The 23,223-nt window shown below is 39.0% G+C and overlaps 1 protein-coding gene across 2 annotated transcripts in view, besides 2 other annotated features; it reads right to left on the bottom strand.

The window, feature by feature from the left end:
• Positions 1 to 23,223, bottom strand: part of COL8A1 (collagen type VIII alpha 1 chain) — a 160,624-nt gene that overhangs the window by 23,920 nt on the left and 113,481 nt on the right. The gene's annotated exons all lie outside the window — the stretch shown is intronic.
• Positions 540 to 619: a silencer, noted in NCBI's record as "silent region_14565". NCBI's record gives its function as "represses an Ori minimal core promoter by ATAC-STARR-seq in GM12878 lymphoblastoid cells {active_cell/tissue: GM12878}" and the evidence as "EXISTENCE:reporter gene assay evidence [ECO:0000049][PMID:35858748]".
• Positions 640 to 689: a silencer, noted in NCBI's record as "silent region_14564". NCBI's record gives its function as "represses an Ori minimal core promoter by ATAC-STARR-seq in GM12878 lymphoblastoid cells {active_cell/tissue: GM12878}" and the evidence as "EXISTENCE:reporter gene assay evidence [ECO:0000049][PMID:35858748]".

Here is a 23,223-nt window from a genome sequence, read left to right as displayed (position 1 = left end):
GACTTGAACCTCATATGCCAGATGGGAGAGCACCAGACAGCCTGGTGCTTTCTTTAGCCATGATTGATGAGTGGCCAGGAGAGACTGGAGCCCAGGTTCTGCTGTGTCATATTGGTATTTTATCCCTGATCACATCAGGGGAAGGGCTGATGCTTCTCTAATCATGTAGTTTAAATGCTTTATAATCCAAGGGGCAGGAGACCTCTTGTGGTGTCTGTCTTTCAGGCCTGCTGGATCGTTGTGTATGACCCTAGCCAGGAATGTGCCAACATAACAAGGGATCCTCACACCTACCACTGTTTCTTCCTCTATACATTTTCCCTAATAAACATTGCTTGGCCATTTACTTTGGTTTGCTCAACAACCTCCAGATCATTCTAGTGTTCAACTTGAAGATTGGAGGTCTAAGACTAGAGGAATGCAGAGAAATGCTTTCACCTATTAATTAATTCATTGATCACCTTTTTTAGTACTTAGCAAGTGCTGAGACACAACAAGTGCTGGAGACTCACTAATGAGTGGAGAATGAGGCTCCTGTCCTGGAATGACTCACAGTCTAGAGGCGTTGCCTAGCTGAGGAGTTCACTGCTCAGACTCCTTCCCTCTGTCAGTTTCAATCTCTGTGAAATGAGTAACAGGGAAACATTAAACTCTTGTTCACGTGTGTTGGGCTGGATATGAACAGCCCAACACACATGTTGGGCTTGGGTAATAGTTGCCAACATTTTTACAATCTCATGCTGGCTTCTCTCCATCTCCCAGCATGTGATTAGGCTTCTTCTGCTCTCCAATCCTTGATGTGTATCCATAAAAAACAAACTTATTTTAATATCAGTCTGAACAAGACTTGCAAAAGAATGCAAATGGAAGACATTGCGTAGCAAACATAAATAGCTTTTGAATGATCTCTATGAGTACCTGGCCTTATACAGGTGCACACTGAAAAAAATGATGAGTTATTCATAAGAACTCTGAGTCAGGCTAAGAATGACTAAATATACATATTTTTTGGCATATAATGATATTCTGGATTTTTTTAGAGGAACCATACTAGATTCTTACTGCTGGGTTCTACTTGTTCCGGCTTCTAACACAATCAAATAGCATCATAACTTGTGAAGAAAATTCTTTTTTAAAAAATATATGTCTATCGGGTTGGGCGTGGTGGCTCAAGCCTGTAATCCCAGCACTTTGGGAGGCCAAGGCAGGTGGATTGCCTGAGATCGGGAGTTTGAGACCAGCCTGGCCAACATGGCAAACCCCCATCTCTACTAAAAATACAAAAATTAGCTGGGCGTGGTGGTGGGCGCCTGTAATCCCAGCTACTCAGGAAGCTGAGGCAGGAGAATCACTTGAACTTGGTAGGCGGAGGTTGCAGTGGGCCAAGATTGCATCACTACATTCCCGCCTGGGTGACACAGTGAAACTCGGTCTCAAAAAAAAAAAAAAAAAAAAAAAAATATATATATATATATATATATACACACATATATATAATCATCTACTTACCCATCTATTCATTTTCTAACCTATCATTTCTCTCCCCTGCATAGTTATCAATGCAGGCATAGTGGTACAGAAACACAGGGTAAGCTACATAGGGTAAGCTATGCGTGATCCTGAGTTCTGATTGGATATAGAAATAAACATTTCCAGCATTCGTTAAAGTACCTTTTGGATTAAACACATAAAATGTAATTATATATTATAATTTACCTAAAGCTTTTCCTTTAAAGACCTCAAGTTAATACAAAGTTAGTTTTAAAATAAAGATCCCCACAATAAAGATTCTACATGAATAGAAATAATAGCAGCTGAGGCTTCATTTTATCTTGTCCTACTCATGAAACATATAGGTGTAGATCACAATCAGAGGAGAAACTTCGTACTAAAATGCAGTGATAATAGGTTAGAGGAGGGTTTGGCTCACTCTTGGCTGCCATTCCCCTTAAAAACCCAGAAGAGCCTGCTCACTATGACGTGGAAGCCAGGCATTAAACTGGAACTGCCATGGCCTAATTGAAGTCTTGTTATTATTAACAATTCAAACAACACATATTTTGTGAGGGCTTAGACTGTTTTCAAACACTATTACGCTCTACTAATAATGGCTATATTCAGTCACATCACAAATTTTGATTGAAGGTTTACCAAGTTCTGACACTGCGCTAGATGCTTTACAAATAAGTTATCCCATTTAATACAATCCCAGTAACCCTGGGAGGCAGTTGCTATTATTATAATCATTTTGAAGACAAGGAAATGAGGGCCCAAAGAGGTTAAACCACTTGCCTGAGGTCATCACACAGCTAATAGGTAGCATAGTAGGATTTGAATCTGCTGGTCTGTCTCCAAAGGCCTCATTCGTTAGGACTACTCTGGATTCAAGACACTGGAAGACTACATGGCATCAATGCCTCATTGTTATGTATGGGTTATTTGTTCCCATTAGTACAGACATCTTCAGGCTGGCAATATCCTCTCCAGGAGGCCACAAAACACACTCCCTATGAGTTCTGGCCATTGTTTGGTGAGCCCTGGATCCTTTGGCATCCCCATCATGCTGCTTGGGGTTACTCCTTGAGATCCTCCACATAAACCTGCTCCCCATTTTTAATAAGATCTAATTTTATTTCATTCTGCCGTGTATCACTTAATTTCTAAAAACTGACTTTATGTTTTAGAGCAGTTTTAGGTTTACAGGAATATATGGGAGAGTACAAAGTTCCCATATATTCCTCCTACCCCCACACTGGCACAACCTCCCCCATTATGAACATCCTGCTCCGCAATGTTGCATTTATTGCAAATGATGAACCTACACTGAAACCTCATTATCACCCAAAGTCCATTTTACATTAGTGTTCACTCTTGGTGTTGTACATTCTATGAGTTTTGACAAATGCATAATGACATGTATTGTACTGGGTAGTTTCACCGCTCCAAGAATCCTTTGTGCTCTGCCTGTTCTTTCTTCTCTACTCACCCTCCCCAACCGCTGAAAACTCCCCATCTTTTTACTGTCTCCATAGTTTTGCCTTTTCCAGAATTATACAGTATGTAGCTTTTTCAGATTAGCTTCTTTATTTAGTAATATGCACTTAAGATTCCTACATGTCTTTTCATGGCTTGATAACTCCTTTGATTTTAGCACTCAATAATATTCCATTGTCTGGATGTACTATTATTTATTTATGGATGTGATCTTAAAGCCACAGTTTGGGCTTCCTGGAATTCTGACTTAAGAAAAAATGCATGTGGGCTTTGCTAGGTAGTAACTGGATACTTTAACAGACCAACATTGGAAGGTATTCATGACTGACAATGGTATCATTGGATTACTCCTTCAGAATAAAACAGTTGTCTTTTACTAGAGTTCTGGTCACCCAAGGAGGAATTTGTGATGGGGAAGCCAGGAGTCTGAGGCTCACTCAGAGGACCTTTGAGGGAAGGTGGCTTCTTAATGTCCCCATATGGCACCATATGGACACCTCATCCTACAGAGGGGGTGAGCTAAGATCCCTTGAAAACCTAGCCATGCCTAGTATTACACTTTTGGTCCATTAGCATCTTCACAGTTAGCATTATGGGATTTTCATGAAAGCAAAACACAGAAGAGATGCTGGCTTATTCTTAGCTGCACAGAATTAACATCACAAAACTAGCTTGATGAGCTAGAAAGGCTCCCGCTCAACCATGACTGTTTTGCAGAAAGCACATTAGGCTTGAGGGGCATTAATTTCAAGTGGAGTTTACGTTGCCTGGTATCTTCTTGGCCAGAATTTAAAAGACACCTTTTTCCTCACACCTAATAAATGATGGTCATTATAGACCTCCAGGTCACTGAAATATCCTCAAATGACTTCTCAGTCATTGCATTTAACCTAGTGATGCTAAAATTAAACTTCTAGTTAGAATTAGTATATTTTAATTTGCAATTGTTCAAAAATGGTCATCAGTCTTTTCATGAATGTATTTAACTTTGTTAGAGTGGGATTATATGAATATTCTCTCTTATTTAACAAATGTAAATTAGGTCACAGCATTCTTTTAAAAACCCTCCAATACCTTCCAATTATTCTTTGAATAACATCCAGACTCCCTTTGGTGACTTACAGATCCCTATCTTGTCTGATTCTTTCCTGTCCCTAATTCCATTTCCACCTGTTGAATAAGCATCGGCCACACTGACCTTCTCTCTGTTCTTTGGATTCACCAAGTTGGTTCTGCCAGGGCCTTTGGGCAAGCTGTTTTTCTGCCCAAAAGGTCTTCTTCCAGCTCTGCACATGAATGGCCCCTTTTCATGTCATGCAGGTTTTGGGGAAATGCTGTCCCCTCAGACAAGACTTCCTTGACCACTCTGGCGAAGGCAGTGCGCAAACCCAGTCACTCTCTATCACATGGCCTCATTCATAGCATTCTCAATAGCTGAAATTATCCTGCTTATTTAATTTATTCATTGCCTATCTCCTCTGCCATGTTTTTAAACTCTGCAAGAGAAGGGACCTGGCCTATCTTATCACCGCGCTGTTTCCCCAGTGGCTGGCAAATAGTAGGTGCTCCAAAAAGTGTGGAAAAAAATGATTGAATGGATGACACCATGGATGTTAATCACTGTCCTTTGAGTATGATTCTGTGTCTTGTGAGTATATATGTATATGCATATATGTGTGTACCTCTTGGTAGAACACCTCTTTTCCATTCTCTCTTTTATTGTCACCTGTGCTATCAGGAAACCCAATTCACTGGCTGTCATTTACTTCTGCACTCTTAAGTGCTTAGCACAACATTTGACACATGGTAGTTGATGAATACATGTTTTTGAGTGAATAAATAAATTTGTAGGCAATGCAGATGAATCTCTTTAAAAAGCAGGCTAGGCCATTTTGGCATTGATATCGTGAAGGACACACTACCCTACAATATGATACCTTGGCATACTGAGTATTTTAAGGTGAAGGTAATTGAGAAAACCTCAGAAGCAAGAAGGTCACGCTTTGACCTTCTCCTGCCTTTCTCTCCTGAAATGAGCCTGAAAAGAATTCTCTGACCTACCTGTCCTGAAAGTAGGTCATACAACCCTCATTCCAAACATGTCCTGCCCTATACCCAGGGGCCACGAAGAATCTGAACAAACAGGCCTTGCTAAGTTCCCATTTACCCCCAGTTAATTAACACTAGACCATACCCTTTTGTTCTCTAATCATACTTCTGCACAACTGTTCATAAAAAAGTTTGTCCTGGGTCTTTGGGTCTTCATTTCTGAAGGCTCCCATGTCACATATAACTTATATTAAATAAATTTGTCTGTAGAAGCTTGAATCAAAACAAGAAATTGTATGATTTTCTCTTGTCAATCTGTCTTTTGTAATTTTTTTTTGGATGGAATCTAACTCTGTTGCCCAGGCTGGAGTGCAATGGCGCCATTTCAGCTCACTGCAACCTCCATCTCCCGGGTTCAAGCAATTCTCCTGCCTCAGCCTCTTGAGTAGCTGGGACTGCAAGTGCGTACCACCACACCCAGCTAATTTTTGTATTTTTAATAGAGACACGGTTTCACCATGTTGGCCAGGCTGGTCTCAATCTCCTGACCTCGTGATCCACCCGCCTTGGCCTCCCAAAGTGCTGGGATTACAGGCGTGAGCCATCGCGCCTGGCCCAATCTGTCTTTTGTTACAGGGGTCCCAGTGAAACTTACAATGGGTAAAGAAAAGATAGTACTTTGTCTCCTTTATAGCATATAGCAACATGATGCTAATATTGGGAATGCCAATCTCCAGTGAAGCTTTAATGACAGGACACTGTCTCACCAGCCCTCTGAAGTCCCTGCCTTTTGGAAAAGTTTCCTTTTCCAAGAAGCACATGAATAGTTGGCAGGCTACCAAGGAGGCAGATAGCAGAATGTCTGCACTTATCAACAACTAGAAACCTTGTCAATCCAATGTCCCTGGTAAAATGATGGCAGTCTATGTCAGGGGTTAGCCCCATGGCTCTTGTCCTTCGGGAAATGGTTGGAGGATAGGATAAGGACTGACATTTATTAGATGCCCTTCATATGCCAGGCAGTGTGTTTGGTGCCAGACATACATCATCTTATTTAATTGTGACAACACTACTATGAAGAGTTGTCAACTTAAAAATAAGATGAGGAACCAGAGATTCAGAATATTGAGTTATTTGCACAATTTTACATACCTGATATTGACAGAGCTAGGATTTCAGCTTCTTTCTGACTCCATATGCTGTGCTCTTTATACCACAGGCACCACAAAAGCAACCAAATAACAACAAAATCCTTTCCTGTATGATTCATTTGAGTTAACAAAACCCTCTTCTGAAATGCAAGTACTCTCTGATAGAGTTATCCTACGAAGTCACTCACACACATGAATAACCTAGAATTCACATGTGTGTGAATAACTTTGATAAGATTAACCTTTACCTATTCTCTAATGGAGACCATTGTCCCAGTTAGAAGGTACCAGTTGGAATGAAGGACTGGGCAGATGGAGAGTTTCTGAGAGTATAGCTTCTCAGGGAGGAAGACCTCCGGTAGAGTTAGAGACTGGGGACACTAGGAAGGGTGAGGATGGTGTCCAAGGACTGCACCAACCTGGCTCTGTACTAACATTTTCTATCAGGTACTCAGAAAGCTGTTTACTGAGAATTCTGACTGGTAAGATGGTAAGTGTATGACAACCAGCATAGCAGGAAAGTTATGTGTATGAGATCTAAAGGAGACCCTTAAGCTTCAGTGCTGTCTCTGACCCTCATGGTCTATGTGACCTTGGTCAAATCACTTACCCCATGCTCTTCACCTGTAAAATGGTGATATCTAGAAATACATATTACATTTGGGTGCTGTTAAGGGTAAATGAGATTTCTCCATATACAGTACTCTGAAAAGTATCTGGTAGCTAGTGATTCATAAATGAGAGCTCTTAGTGTGCAATAGCCCATACCATCTGACAGTCCTATTTGCTATCAACAGATTACAAACTTTGAGTCCCATGTGATCCTTCTAGTACATGTAAAATCAGACCAGGTGATTTGGAGCTTGATTGTAGGAACAACTGTGCAAAAAAGAAAATGTCTTTCGGTATTCCTTAACTTTCAAGAGTTTGAGTTTATGGGAGCCCCTTATCCAGGAATGTAGGACCTTTCTGAGAAAAAGAATGTTTACTTTGCCCTTACAACTCTGCCAATAATTTGCCTTACTGTCGCCAATTTTGATTTTATTTTCAATTTGAAATGGGATTAGTTATGTACCGATCTCAATCAAATGTTACTTTTATGCAGACAAGCTTCCATTGTATTTTACTGTTCATGACAATCTCCTTATATCACCTTCAACAGGAGAATGGGCAATATTCTCGTTCCAGGCCCAGGAAATTGATATAATTCTTCTAGTATTAGTTTCTCATGCTAACTCATTCTGAAAAATATGACTTTATTATCATTAGTATTATCTTTACTTCTCACTCCTTTATTTTGGGGCATTTGCTTTGTCTTTTATAATATCTTACACCTCTATACCTTGCTGCATGTTAAGACTCAGAGGTTCAGTGGCAGGATGCCTTATATGTTGATCCACTTTTTGGTAATCAACTGAAAGGGTGATGATGGGCTACAATATAGTTGGGTTGCGGCAAAACATTCATCCTAATGAAATGTGACTTTATGAAAGAAATGCTCCTAATCCTCTCAAGGACTGAGCCAGGTCATCACGGGTGAATGAAAGGTATTTGAGGTTTCTTTCTTTTTCCAAAAAAACATGTTGGGTCCACCAGCTGTTACCAAGAATATTAATAAAAATCTTGTCAGCTTAGAGTTATTGCTGTTCCTGAAGAAAAGATAAATGTATGTAGTTTTAAATCTGGACATATGAGGTTTTAAAAACATTGTTGTAGAGTTCTCCTGGCTACATTTCCTTAGCTCTTTTCCAAGACTTGGGCTGGAGAAACTTAAAAATGTCTCTGGGCCAAAGTTAAATATTAAATGAAAACCTTGTGTCTGAGGAGCTCTAAGATTAATAAATGGTGGCAAAATAGGTAAGATCCCAAATCTTCAGAGAAAGCAAGCTCTAAAATGAATGAAGTTGTATTGTAAAAAGTGTCACCTTCTGAGCCGTAGGATCAAACTCATAGGGAAAAGATGAACCACAGAGTATTTCAGGCTTGGAGGAGGCACCATGTCTTTGAAGGTGTCACAGTACTACACTTATTATTGTTAAGGTAGAATGCAACAACATATCTGAAGGAACCAAAAAGAGTTAATGCTTTATACAAATTTGTGATGCAATATCATGAGAGTCCCCCTCCCCTAGAGGACATCATTTTTTTTTTTTCAAGACAGAGTTTCGCTCTTGTTGCTGAGGCTGGAGTGCAATGGCACGATATTGGCTCACTGCAACCTCTGCCTCATGAGTTCAAGCGATTCTCCTGCCTCAGACTCCCGAGTAGCTGGGATTGCAGGTGCCTGCCACCACACTTGGCTAATTTTGTATTTTTAGTAGAGATGGGGTTTCTCCATGTTGGTCAGGCTGGTCTCGAACTCCTGACCTCAGGTGATCCACTGGCCTTGGCCTCCCAAAGTGCTGGGATTACAGGCGTGAGCCACTGCATCTGGCCAGGACATCAACTTTAACTGTCAGTGGTACTGGCTTCTGAGAGTCAAGTCCAATTATTATGGTGAATATTAATTTTAATAGCTTCACATTTTTCCTTGAGGTTGATTATATTCTTTCTCAAAGAAAACACTAGGGGAAAATGAAGTATTGTTAAAGGATTATATTAATGAGGAAAGAATATAAAAGTTTACTTTTCCTTCTCCAGATAATTGTAGTGATAATTTGCTTCCCAGCCTTAAGTGCATGGATTGAGTGAGCTGTTAAGTCTCAGTTCTTCTTTCCCAAGTATGCCTCAGTGATTGGGGATCATGTGCTGTCAGGTGGCCTGCAAGGTGGAAAGAGCCTATGGGCTGCAGGGTCCTAGCCACCTGGATTTGGATCCTGGCTTTGTCACTGATCAGCTGTGTAACCTTAGGGAATACACAGCCATATCTTAGCATGAAAAATGGGAATAATAATCCCTATGGGGATCGTATTTGGTAACAAATGGTGATGCCTGACAATTAGCAGAAACTCAATAAAGGGTAGCTTGACTAATATACAGTATATAGCCTTTGTATTCTTGCCATTACTGTGGTTCCAGGATCCAATAGGATATTAATATTCTTTTTACCAACCAGCTCTGGTACCTTCGGCATATCTATGAACAAAATTGTCCTTAAAAGAAGTAATATCTCCTGGGTTTGTTGAGCTAACATTTGATATATAAATACTATATATTAGCCTAAGAAAGAAAATACCTGTGGTCACAGCCACTTTATGTTGCATTGAATGGTATTTAGTACACTTTTCTGAAATTGGAATGTAATTTTAGTAATTTTGATAAGGCATCAGAAGATAAATCTGTTGTGTTAGAGAAGAGAATGGTATTAAAAACATCTAGTAACCACAAAATGTTAACATTCTTAGGTTGGGTGCCAAGAACATAGATTTGACCAAAAGGAGTTAAAGGAGCAATTGAGCATTACTCTGGTTACAGGGATCCCTGACTTATGTGAATGATATTGAGAAAATACCACATCCTAATGATGTAAACTAGAACTAGATGTAGAATAAGAAGTGTTCCAAGCTTTACATTGAAGAAGGCCTGGGGACGAATTTGGGAGGGTTTGTACAGCAAATGTTAACATCACAAAAGAAGGAATTTGGCCTCCAAAAAGGATTAGACTGGTGCATATACTTTGAAACATCTTGGATACAGCAGTCCTGCTATAATTCCCTCTGGCTTCATTGTAGAGTGTAAACAAAACACGACATTATTGTGGATTCTCATTGTATTCCCTGTTCTACTAGATACCCTTTGCTGAATGGATGGGATGTTGGCTGGGGATTGTGAAGTTCATTCTCTTGCTGTTGGTTGGTGTGAGTTTGAGCAGTTTACCAGACTGGAGCTAAGATTGAAGTCTCTGCTTCCTGTTATTCTGAGAAGGGTGAAGCTTCCTTTAAGACAGAGGGGAATAGTGAATCAGCTGATAATGTTGATAGCCAAGACCATGTCTCTGTGAGCCATTTCATAATGTAACTTGTTACATTGCCTACACTTGGTGGCCAATGCAGCATGTATTATATTCTGTTATTCCTTGTTGTATCATCTTTGTTATTTTTTTCTGTTAACTATTATTATTAATAACTGTTCTCTTAATAACCATAAAGAGAAAGTATGGTTAACAACTTCATCAATCCCTTAAAAAATGCAACTATTTTATGTGTTGAATGGTACCATATTTATACTTGAATTATGGGATGGTTTGACATGACAGCTAACATTTATGGAGAACTTACTATTGGCCAGACACTGTTAAAAGCACTTTACATTGATTAATTGATTTAAGCACCTATATTGGTTAACTTATTTAATTCTTAGAAAAATCTGCCTGACTGCAGAGGTTGCAGATGAACCAAGATCTCGCCACTGCACTCCGGCCTGGGCGACAGAGGGAGACTCCATCTCAAAAAAAAAAAAAAAAGAAAAAAAAGAAAAAAAAGAAAAATCTGCCTGACTGAAAGCTACTACCATAATTATTCTTACTTATCTATGTGGCATTCAAGGCACAGAGGTTTTAAATAGCATGTCAAAAATCCTACAGTCAGTAAGTAACAGGACTGGAATTTGAGCTCAGGGAATCTACCTCCAGGTTCTAAGCACTTAACTACTAACAACATATTACTTGTTTGAATGGGAACTTTGAATATTGAATAGATCGTGGTGTACACGCACACACATATATGTACAGGGGCACAAAAATACTTTTCATATTCATGTAACTCATAATTGAATTTGAAATTTATACTAATGTTGTTCTGCTCTTTATATTCATTGAGCTGCCAGATTAAAACTCAGAGTTATTGAAGAATACAGCAGGACTTTATTTATTAAGAAATCTCTGGATACCTCTTACATGCAAAGAACTCTACTGTAAATTGGAAACAAAAATAAGGCACAATCTCTAATGTTTTGTGAACCTTAAGAAAATAAGAAAATTCTTATGCACAAAGCTTCTATATAAAAAGTTCAGTTAGGTGTTAAGAGAATTTGGGCGTGATATGGTTTTCCAGGCCTCTGGTGGGTGATAGTCACTGGGCCTGAGGAGGAGGAGGCTGTTCTTACCACAGAGAAAGCAAGAAATCCTGGGTCAGCCAACGAAACAGTTCTTCTAGGTCAAGCCTCCAACTACTGGAGTCAAATGCATGGTTACTTGGGGAAGCCTGGCGGAGTAGATGGTGACCAATTGGCTGAGCTGGCTAGTCCTTGGGTGGTAGATCACCCCAGGTGAAAGCAAGAAATCTCAGGTCAGCCAAAGAGACAGTTTTTCTAGGTGAGGCCTCCAACTACTGGGGTCAAATGCATGGTTACTTGGGGAATCACGGCAGAGTAGATGGTGACCAATTGGCTGAGCTGGCTAGTCCTTGGGTGGTAGACCACCTCAGGAAGCAGAACATGGTACTGGGTGCATGGATTGTAGAGCCACACTGCCTGGGTTAAAACCCCAGCTCTGAACACTATTACCTACATGACTTTAGGGAAAGTTTGTTTTTTTTTTCCAAAAATGTTTTTGTGCCTCATTTTCCTTTTCCAGAAAATGAGGATAATAATAATAATACCGACCTCATAGGACTTTAATGCAGATTAAATAAGTATATGCATGTAAAGTGTTTAGAATGATGTCCGGCATGAAGTAAGTGCGATGTAGGTATTAACTGTTATTATTATTGTTATCATTACTGGTAGAGGCAGGAGTGGATTCAGAGGTTTAGACAGGCAGGAGGTGCACAGCCTATCTTACTTAGAACAAATGTAAACCCAAGGAACCCATCCTTCCCTCTCATCTCCCAGAGTACATTTCTCTGACTTCTGCTTATTTTGTCTTCTAAAGAAATTTATGACAATGAAATATGAGCTTGTATTCTCTCCTCTTAATTAAAGTTATTTCTATGTTAGATAATAATTCATTGTTATGATGTCTCCTTTGGAATATATAACAGGCTCTGTTTCTTCATTGGCTTTGGACCATTGGAAACTGGGGCAGGAAATCAGATGACTGCACTTGCAATTCAAAGAGCAAGTTACATAATCCTTAGTGATACCAAGGTGCAGATATCTTGCCTTATATGAAGCTAGGGATCTTGAATTTCTAGTTCCAAATCTCTTTTGAAATACCTTTCTCTGCCACCTAGAAGGTATGAATGAAAAGCGTGCAGTTAAAGAGGTTGATTCCCACTTATTCATTACAACAAAGGGGACATTAACTCCAAGTACTACCCAGGTTGGGCCAAGAGGAGCCTTTGGTCTGACTGTCCTCCAGCCATGTCTCCCCCAGCTGCCATGGGGTGAGAAGCCAAAGGATTGTGCCATGCAGAGCCCACACTCCTCGACCATGCTCTGGATGCACAGGATCCTGGAATTCTCTATGCAGATGATCTTAAACCCTTTCCAGTGTCTGCACAGGCTTTTGTTCAGGGTCCTGCCTCTTGACATACACTGTATCACTGGGGTGCAAGCCTAGGACCAACGTGGGGCTAGGGAACAGCTGTTTGCTGGAGGCTGTGGATAGAGTTTTGCTCTGTGAATGGGATGTTCACATGCATGGCTGTGAAATCTGTTGTGGTCCATGGCAGAGTTGAGGGTGGGAACAAAAGAACTCAGCAGCAGGCTGGTCTCCCTGCATCTTCGCATTCAGAACTCCAAAGAGTCTGAAAATTTGAACTTTACCTCCCAGCTTGATATGAAGACATACTGACAAGGCAGAAGGATAGAACATAATTTTTTTTAGCAGTTTGTTAACTCAACTGATAACTTTTAAGTATTTAAGTACGGTATCTCGACCTTTATTTGTACTTTTGCCCAAAGCATGACAAATGTTAGGAGTGGGCCTGATTAACATAGATACACATTAAAAAGCCCACACTAAAATGTGCGTGATTTTCTTTGTTGGTATCAAAGTGCTCAAGAAACAGAGCAGCCAGTTCAAATACAAGAGCAGAGGAGAGCCAACAAAATACCAGCGATGACTATCTATTACCATTTTTATTATTTCCTTATCTCAAAAATGATATTTCTGAGAAGGGAAAATATGATCATATTAATAAAAACCAATAACAGGACAGTTTCACTAGAAGAAAAAGCAGAAGAAAGCAGAGAGAAAAATCCCTCGAGGTCAGTTGTACCAAACATGGTATGTATCGCCTCTCTGTCAGCCAAAGCTGTGGTGTCTAAAATTTATTGCTGGAATAGCTGGAATTCTTAATAAAAATTCCACGAAACCTGGGGGCTTCTGAGCAGCATATGTGAAATTAAGAGAAAAGAAGTATTTCATCTTCTGTAAAAGTCACAAGTACAAAGAACAAGGTGTTAACAAGATAACAACTAGATATGAGAGGGTGTCTGTTTTCTTCTTTTCATGTTCCACGTGTTTTCTCTAGATATCTAAAGCCAGAGATATCTAGATATCTAAAGTCAGAGAGTATTGGAGAGAGGGAAGGACTCCATTTTTGTCCCCTTATTGTTCCTGGGGAAACTTGTGCACAGGCTGCTCCTGCTTGGCGAGGTAGCATTCCTGACATACACACAACTGCCTGACTAATCCTAACCTAGTAGTTACAGCTTCAACACAGGCTGCGAATTTATTCCTGTATCATGTGCAAGGAGGTGCAAACTAGCAATAGCAAGTAGAGAAGAAACTTAGTCTTAGAAATCTGATTCTTTCCATTTCAATTTCAACTCCGAGAATCAGCTGGGGACTGCTTTGAGGAGTCAATCTCAGTCTCTTCATTTACAATCATTGTGTCCTCTGCCAAGTTACAGAATCACCATAAACCTCAGTTTCTTTAGGTGTACCATGAAAATAATAACTAGCATTTGAGGTTTGCAAAAATTGCCAAGACAGTGCCAGGTCCACAATAGATGGTAAGTGTTTTGGAGCTCCTTCAAAATCAGTATAGTATTTTAAGAGAAATTGGTATATATTTATATCAGACGTATAGTGTTTCTTTTTTTATTTCAATAAGAAAAAGTCTACCCCTCAAGTTTATTCAATCATTGTTTCTATATACATGTCATGTGGGTATAGTTCTGGAGAGTAAGTCTATTGGGAGAGCAAATGTGAAACTAGAAGACGTTCTTTGACTATTTTCTACCTCTCTTCCAAGGAACTCCTGAGTTAAAAATTCATCTGGCTCCTATTTTCTGCAGAATTTTGCTTATTTGAAATGTTCAAGAAATCAATTGATCTGACTTCAAACAGACGAGGCTTTGCTGGCTATGTAAAAGCCCTGTTTGTGTTACTCCCAAGTCTGGACTTTGCAAGCAGCCAATTCCCTTCATACCTTAGCAGAGGACTTCTTTTTGGCTGCCTACCCTCTGTGCTGAGCCAAATGTCAGGCTGGGAATGGAGGCGATAAATCTCTGTGAGTCTTCATAGTTAGAATTTCTCCTGTTGCTTCTGATAAGGAAATGACAGTCTCTCAGGTCTACACATGAATGTCAGAGAAATTTGTAATCCAAATCATGTTTAGCTCAGAAAATGGTAAGCAAAATGTGCTAAACCTGGCTTTGAGTTAACTCAGATGGTTTTGAGGGTTTGGGTTGTGGACATAGAATTTATGTTCATTCTCGACTAGATTGTCCTTGGACATTTTTAGAATAAAAAAATTCCTATCTATCTTTTAAAATATTCTGACTAAATATTTAATATTTCTCTATGGGAGAGGGGGCAGCAAAATTCTTTCTAGCTGAAGTTCTTTGCAAAGAAAATATCTTTTCTTTGCCTAGTAGAGCCACCTCACTGTTTGTACTCCTCCCTCTGCCTCTTTTTCTCCATTTATTTTGGTACTTCCAAGTTTCATGCTAAGCCTCAATGACTGACTGAAATGAATGTGATTGGAGACCAGGAATTCCTCAAAGATGGAAAGATTTTTCTATGATGTATTCACGTGCTCTGAGATGGCTAATGAAGCCAACCCAGGTCTGGCCAACTCCCTCATGAGCACAGTGAAAAGACATTCTCAAAATAAAACAAGGAAAACTTTTTTTTTTTGAGTCTCTAGTTGATTTTGAGTGTTTTCTATCCAACAACATCACTGACAATATTCACTGTCTGACATTTTAGTAGAAGTGGTAAAAATTGCTTCATATAGCAGCAATTCCTAGGCCTTACTCTCATTTGCCTGAGACTCAAAAACATATATAAAGAAGAGGAAGAGAGTGATGTGATTGTCCATGGTAGAAATACTACATGGGTTTGGTTAGCCAAGTGGCCCCTTTCAAAGAACCATGATCACACGGTAGGAGAAACCCATTTAAAATGTTCTCTCCCAAGCCTACAGCCAGTCAGCTCCTGAGGGTGATTTTGTTGGCACAAAGCAATACAATCAATGAGTTTGGCACAGTCATCATTTGAAGTGAATTGTTCTATCTATTCTTTTTACGGTTGAAACAACTGGCTTGAGTTTTATTGATTTAACTAGCTCTTTTGGTGTCATGTAGATACAGCTTTTCAAACTAATAAAGCAGAGTCATTGTGTGTCTAAAAAAACATTGGTTAATCTGAAAATCTTGTACATTTGATCTTGGCATGTGTTTTTTACTTATGTTTGAACATGGATGTGTCTGACATCCTAAGAGTTCATTTCAAGCAAAATATTGAATCATAGAATGAAAAATCTACCCAGATATTTTAGCCCTTATGTAGTTTTCCCTTTTTCTCATGTTTATGCTATGACTTGGGACAGGGTAGTTTAGGAAATCATTTCGAGGATATTTCTAGGATAGAAGTCTTTCTGTCGCTTTTTAGCCTTATAAATTTTAGAAGCTCTGAGAGAACTGAGAAATTACATAGCAAATACAACTCCTTTGCTTTTCATTTGTTATGCATTTGCTAAATGCATTAATTTAACAAATATTTTCTTACCGTCTACTGTGATTCAGGCACTGTACTTCTAGACAGTGACAAATAAGATTGGTGAGATTCCTGTTCTCATGGAGCTTGTATTTTAGTGAAGGGAGCAAGACAATAAACCAAACAAAATAATTTTAGATAGAGGTAACTGCTTAAAAAAAAAAAAAAGGAACAGGCTCTTGTGATGGGTTGGGAGTAGGATCGATGCAACTTTAGATGGGCTGTCAAGAAGGGTTTTCCTGAGGAGGTGGCAGCTGAAAGAAGCCAGCCATATGACTCTCTGGACAGTGTACAGGCAGAGTGTTCAACAAGTGTCAAGGCCAATAATAGTCCTTTATTATAAGGACTAAATGAGCTAGTATGTGTAGAGTGCTTAGAACAGTGCCTGGCATCTATAAAGGCTAATTGTTTTGAATTCACTAAATATTCATTGAGTGTCTACCAGGTTCCAGTCTCAGTGGTAGGTGCAGGGAATTAAGGTTTATAAAGAGAGAGACCTGACTTCAAGGTGCTCAAATCAGACTTCAGTGAAGTATTTCTCAATGTGTGGTTTACAGACGACTTGTATCTTACTCACTTGCCTTCCTGGTTCCCAGTCTTCTCTACATGGAACGTGATTAGAAAGGCTTGGGGAGTGGACCAGACATCTGCATTTTCTACAAGCATGCTCTAGTTGATTTTTATGTCCCATAAAGATTGAGAACCACAGTCCTAATGAACAGCTTGTGATTAAACTGTGGTTCTTTTCAATAAAGTATCTGTTACAGCATCCAGTATAACCAATTGCCCGCACTGCAAAGAACACCTCATAATATTCAAGAGGAGCTCTGCTCAGTTTATACAGCCATAAATGTAATGGAATTATGTTTCACAATTAACATCCTGAACTCCTCAGGGCTAACTTTTTCATTGATCTTGAGCTGGCTGGGGGAAGTTGGATTAACCTGCTTTTGGCTATGGTTTGGAGAGTTTCCCTTTCAAGTGTCATTTAAAACCTGACAAAGAAAAAAAAGGTTTTTACCTTTTAGTAAGAATGTGCTAACTAATGTTTGCCAAAAGTTCTTGAATCCTGGAAGACATTCTACTTGTAAGCCGATTAGCCTAACTGAAATTCCTCCTTTGGGCTCCTGCTCATACCTATTTTTAAAGTGTGATGTCACCAAAAGGCGAGATGAGAAAGATTTATTTTATCTCTCTGTAATGTTCTACTATGAGCTTGATGCAAAAGTAAGTTTTTGCCATTGAAAGTAGTGGCAAAAACCATGATTACTTTGGTATCAACCTAAAAGAATGTATTCTATTCTATTTATTTTCTCACTTTAGAATAACTTATACAAATTTTAAAAGGTTTTAGATTCAAAGATCTCAAGGAACACTTGATACAAGGATAGATTCATGCTGATCAGGCTGAGTGACAGTAGCCTCTAAAATCCAGTCTAGATTCTATGCTGTAAAAATGTGAGGCTTCTGTTTTCTCATTAAATACTTTCTGAAAAGGGCCTTAGTTTGGGAACAGATGTATCCCATTCAATTCCTTCTTCATTTCTCATTTTTATTTCTTTACTAGTTTTCATCCATAGGTACTCAATAGCTACGGCAGATAAAATGATGGTGATGGAAAAAAGGCCAGCCCTGAGCATGAGGTCAGAACTGATAAAGGTAAATGAACTGATATAAGTTTAAGTCAGGCTAGAATCTTAGACATGGATCTTAGAAGATTAGACAGAATTAATACGGCAGTCAAAAGAAGTCATCTTTTGGGGCTACCAGCCTGACAATTATGTAGTTATTTGTTTAACTTTTCAGGTCGGCAGTGCTCCCCAGCAAAGAGTATGAAGAATGGGTGAGAAATGTAGACCCCATAAAATCTGTAGGAACCTAAGATAAAAATCTGTTAATGCTTAGTCAATGTCATGAATGGTCAACAAGAGGTTAACTGTGACACCAGAGAAAGAGTGTATTAGACAAGAGTTGCACCCCGAGGAAGAAAAGTTTCTGCCAACATTTTTATTAGGTTTCACCTGACAAAATGAATTTTGATATAAAAACAAGTAGAAAGAAAAGATTCCTGTCTAATTTATTTTTCCCCTTTAAATTCAGCAATTTATTCAAGCTTTTCTTTATTCATTTCTTTATTCAACAAAGATTTGCTGAATGCCAACTATTTGCCAGGTGCAGTTCTAATTGCTGGGGATACAGCAAGAAGACAGAAAAGTCCCTGTCTTTCTAGAGTTTATATGCCATTAGAATTTCGTTTCTTCTTCATCTACAAAAATGACCATAGCTAATTCAGATCCATCAGAGAAGCTAAAATATTTAAAAGGAGCATTCTCTGTAAAAAGTAGGGACTGAAAAAGAAACCACATTTCCTTGGAATTTAGTGATCCTTCAGTTTTCTCTGCATATGGATCTTTACACTACTGTTTACATAGTTTTGGCTCTATGCTGGATTTACTGCTGATTTTGGCTAAGACGTTTGTATCCCCAAAGTGAGTGTTTTCTTGATCATGCTTAGGTGACGTGATGGTACTGTCCCCAAATCTTTGAGTCCAAGTTCAGCACAGCGTAGCTGCCTGGAAATTGAAGACCCTGGTTCCCATAAAAGAACCACTGGCTCAGAGACCAAGCACATTTCTTCCCATTTCTACTGTAACATTTATTTCTCAAGAGTATAAATCTCAGGCCGATATTTAACATTCTTTTTAACTGAACTGTGGACGTTTTCCTTGTACTTCTTGAAATAGTTAGGAGCTAAGCTTCTATTATTCATATTTATAAACATGTCCTAAACAGGAGGCATGATTTTATAATTCATGAGTCTTTGAAACTATTTTTACAAAGGAACACTTAGAAATATTACATCATATCAGGACCATGGTCTGGTTCAGAATTCTAAGAGTGGAATACTCCATGTGGCAGAATATAATTATTGCTATACATGGCTTATCCTAAAACAGGTGGTGACATTTTCTAAAGATTCTTGGACTAAAAGTCTTTTTCACTTTCAAAAATGAATTCTCAAATTGAGTTCACTGGTACAATTGGAGGATTATAAGATTCAGAAAATGATTCTACCCCAAGCTCCCCTATTTTGATAAATGGTATTCGTACTTATCTAGTTGCTCAGGCTCAAAGTGCAGGAGACATTCTCGATATCTCTTCTTCTCACACATCCAATCCATCTGCAAGTTTTATGATCTCTTTAATGAAAATGTATCCTGAGTCACTGGGCACCGATCATGTTTTGCCTGGACCAGTGCCTTACCTCCCTGTCTCCATTCATGTGCGGAGTCCAATCTCCTCAGAGAAACCAGAGTAATGATTTAAAGAAGTAGACCAGATCCTGTCACTCTGTTCAAAATCCACCTGTGGCTCCCCACCCCAGTTCATGTAAACTCTGAACTCCCCTCCACAGCCTGCAAGACCTAAGCGATCTGGCTCCGCTCTCTTCTTTGACACCATCTGCTCTTTAGTTACCAGGCTCTGGCCAGTGGTCTTCTTGCCATCTTGCAACAAGCCAAACTGGTTCTCAGCCTTGGGACTTCCCATTTGCCTGAACTGTCTTCCAGATCATTGTGTTGCATGGCCTTGCCTTCTTCAGATCTCAGATCACATGTCACCTCCTCAGAGTGGCTTGTGTTGACCATTCAATTTTAAACAGCATCCCTCATCCTATCATTCTCTATCCCTTTCCCTTATTTGATTTTTCTTCATGATCAACATGGTATTAAATATTTATTTATATTCACATTTATCAACTCTTCTCCAACTAGACAGAATGTAAGCTTTAAGGGTAGAATGGCATTTTTGCCCTCATTCACTGCTAAACTCCCCAACCTAAAACAGTGCCAGCCACATAGCAGATTCTCAACACATATTGGTTGAGTGAATTAATGGAGTGTTTACTATCCTTGAAGTCTAATTATTCATTTACTTCTACTATATTTGTATAAAGAACTTTTAAAAAACTCAACTATCAGAGGGAGTCATCTTATTTCAGGATTTGATTGTTAAACTATAATTGTGGGGCCAAGCATAGGCCTAATAACTAGGATATATGAACCCTCACTTATTTTTTCAAGTTGTTTAAAGTTTCTTTGCTTCAATTTCCTTTGTTTTTCTTTACACTTCTGTGTGTCAATATCTTTATTTCTCAAATGGTGTTGATAATAAGCTTATCTAGCCTAATTTTAGGGTTGCTTTGGTGACTAAATATGTGCAAATACTTGAAATGACATCAAGAAATCTACTAAAATGAGGTACTGATAGTTTACCCTACTGTATTTTAATTGTTACCCATTATTCCTCTGACTCTATGTTTATTTTTCCTTCATTACCATGAATTTGATGCCAGCAAGTCTTAGCATGTTACACATATACAGGTGCAAAGAAACCTAGTACTGTAGTACTTTGGTTTGATAACTCTGGTTTGGTCTATTGAGATAAATTATTTGGTAACTGAGATGTTTTAGATAAGGAGCTAAAAGGATTATCAGGGACCTGGTTTTTAAATCCAAGAAGATCTCTGGTAAGAGAAGGTTGGAGTGAGAGGGGGTTGAACCTCAATCCACTGGCAAATATGTGATCTTTCTGTAGGAGTTCTTTGGTGAGGACCCTTGGGAGGCAGAGAACAGGCAGGGATGCAGAGCTCAGGTGCACAGGCCAAGTACAGTATTCAGAAAAATAAAGGAAATGTGTATCTTTCTTATTGAGCTCTTTAATTCTCCCACAAACACCATGAGTGTTATTGTTTACTGCTAGCACTTATGGACGATAGACCAGGAGATCAAACCTCTTGTCCTGGCTTCTTTCACACATGAGAGACAATTTGAAAAAAAAAAACAGTATAGTTATTATCCATGATCTCCCTCTTTGCTCTTGTGATCGCATTCAGTGGATAACTTGAGCAGCTACTCTAAAATTTAATCTGACTTTACAGAACCCCTAAACCACATTTTTGGGAATTACATAGCTATGTAAACTATGGTTTTATTTTTTCTACTTCATAGATGAAAAAGTGGATCTAAGTGACTTGTCTAAGATTGTATAGCAGGTGGAAAAATGATTCCAAATCTTAATCCAAGTTGGTGCTCATTTTGTTGCATTTGGCTTTCTGTAGGTAGAAACATTTCTTTAATTATTGGATATAAGCTGATTTCATTTGGAAGGATCAGAAAAAAATTATTTATTCAGTGTATACTTAATAAAATTTTGCAGACCCATATCTGTAACTGACAACAGTTTACAAGTACTAATTGTTTCAGCAACTATGTTTTAAATTGATATAAGAGAAACTGGTTAGTGTAGTTATCTTCCCAGTAGCTGTCTAGGTTCAGTCCAAGCTCTACCATTTTACTGACTGGGCAACCTCAAGCAAGTCTTTTCATTGCTTTGTACATTTGTAGTTTTATTTCTTGTCTCCAAACTGGGAAAATTTGTATTATCTCATGGGTTTGCTGTGAATAATTGAACATATATAAAGCATAGAACCATGCCTAGCACATAGTAAGTACTATATATGTATTTATTTTCATAGTACTGAGATACAAATGTAGATAAGACCGGAGCACATTAGACTTTATCCTTAAGGGATCTCATTTTGAACATAGTTTTGTGTAAAAAAAAAGCAGTTTCTAAATGAAAAAGCAGCATTTCATTCTGTAGTCTCTTGATGCAGTAATTCAAAGTCATCACTAGATGGCAATTGTGATCCATGTGACTTCAGCTGCAGCGGTACTAACTGATGGGTCCAACCCTGGCGTCAGTGTTTTCTATACCCTATAGCATTGAGAAGTCAGGCAGTTTCTTTCCCACAAAGTGAGCCTTTAACAAAACTCCAGTCAGCAAAGCTTTCATTCTGTGGTCACCCTTGGGGCTCACCCATAGGCACCTAGTCCTTGTGATGGCAGCCTCACAGAAGTGTGGGTTTACTTGCCTGCATCTTATCATATCAGGAGTGCCTTTCACCAGATAACAACAGGACAGTGTCAGGATCCTGTGTCAAGAAGATCAGTTAGTGGTTCTTAAAGTGTGGTCCCCCTGCCAGTAGCCTCACCATCATCTGGCAATTTGTTAAAAATGCAAGTTCTTGGGCCCCATCAGATCTGCTGACCAGTATTTTAATAAGCCTTCCAGATGATTCTGATGTCTGCTAAAGTTTGAGAACCATTGAGATAAACCAGTGCATAGCATCATATATAAAGGTTGGTGCTGGAAGGGTCCTCAGATAACATTTTGCCCAGTCCTCCCATTTTGCTGAGAAGGAAAACTGAGGTCCAGGGAAGTTAAATGATTTACCACAAGTCATAGCAGTAGGCATGTGGCAGAGCCGGGCTCCAGGGCTGGTGAGTTGCATGTCCCAGCTTTCCTCATATACCCATCTCCCCTTCTCCCCCTCTAAACTGAGGCCACTAGGTGCACATTCTAGCCTGATACCTACTCATGAAATTAAAAAGTCATTTATTTATGCGGGAGTTTGTTCATTTCAATAGACATTTCTATGATGATACAAAATTGAGTATGATGAATTCACTGTAGTCCAGAGTGTGTGCATATGTGTACATGCATGTGTGTGTGGGGGGGCATGTGGGGGGCGTGAGGGAGAATCAAGTAAAAGTCCTCATCTCAATTGATAGGAGAGGGATATATGCAGAGAACCATGGGAAATAGGTGAGTGCAATCAGGGATTAGGTAACGCAGGTAAGAGGAAAAAACTTTGGAGCTGACCTTGGGTGATAAGTAGGAGTTCAGCAGATATAGAAGTCAGGATAGGGCATTTGGGGAGAGGGATCAGAATATACAAGCACATGGCGCCATAAAATAGTGTAGGGGAATCACAAGAGTTTTGCTTGAAGGGAAGGGAGTAGTAGAAGAGTGATCATGTTATAAATAATAATAATATTACTACCACTACTACTAATAGCTGGGACTTATTAAATGTTAACTATGACCAAACCCTGTACTAACCATTTTATATCTATTATTGATTTAATTCTTAAATGATTTTGCAAGAGTCTACTCTTATTTCTACTTTACAGATGACAATGAACATGTCCACACTGTGCTAGTTTCCTTAAAACCAAGTGTTACTATTTTCCATTTCTTAGATCAACATTAAACTTAGAAAAAGAGCTTTCATGTTTACTTCTTCCAGGATGTCCATAATGCAAAGTAAGTATCTATTTGCAGGGGATGAGGAGT

Source organism: Homo sapiens, chromosome 3, assembly GCF_000001405.40.
Source record: "Homo sapiens chromosome 3, GRCh38.p14 Primary Assembly".
Classification (NCBI taxonomy): domain Eukaryota; kingdom Metazoa; phylum Chordata; class Mammalia; order Primates; family Hominidae; genus Homo; species Homo sapiens.
This window is presented reverse-complemented; position numbering and strand designations above follow the sequence as displayed.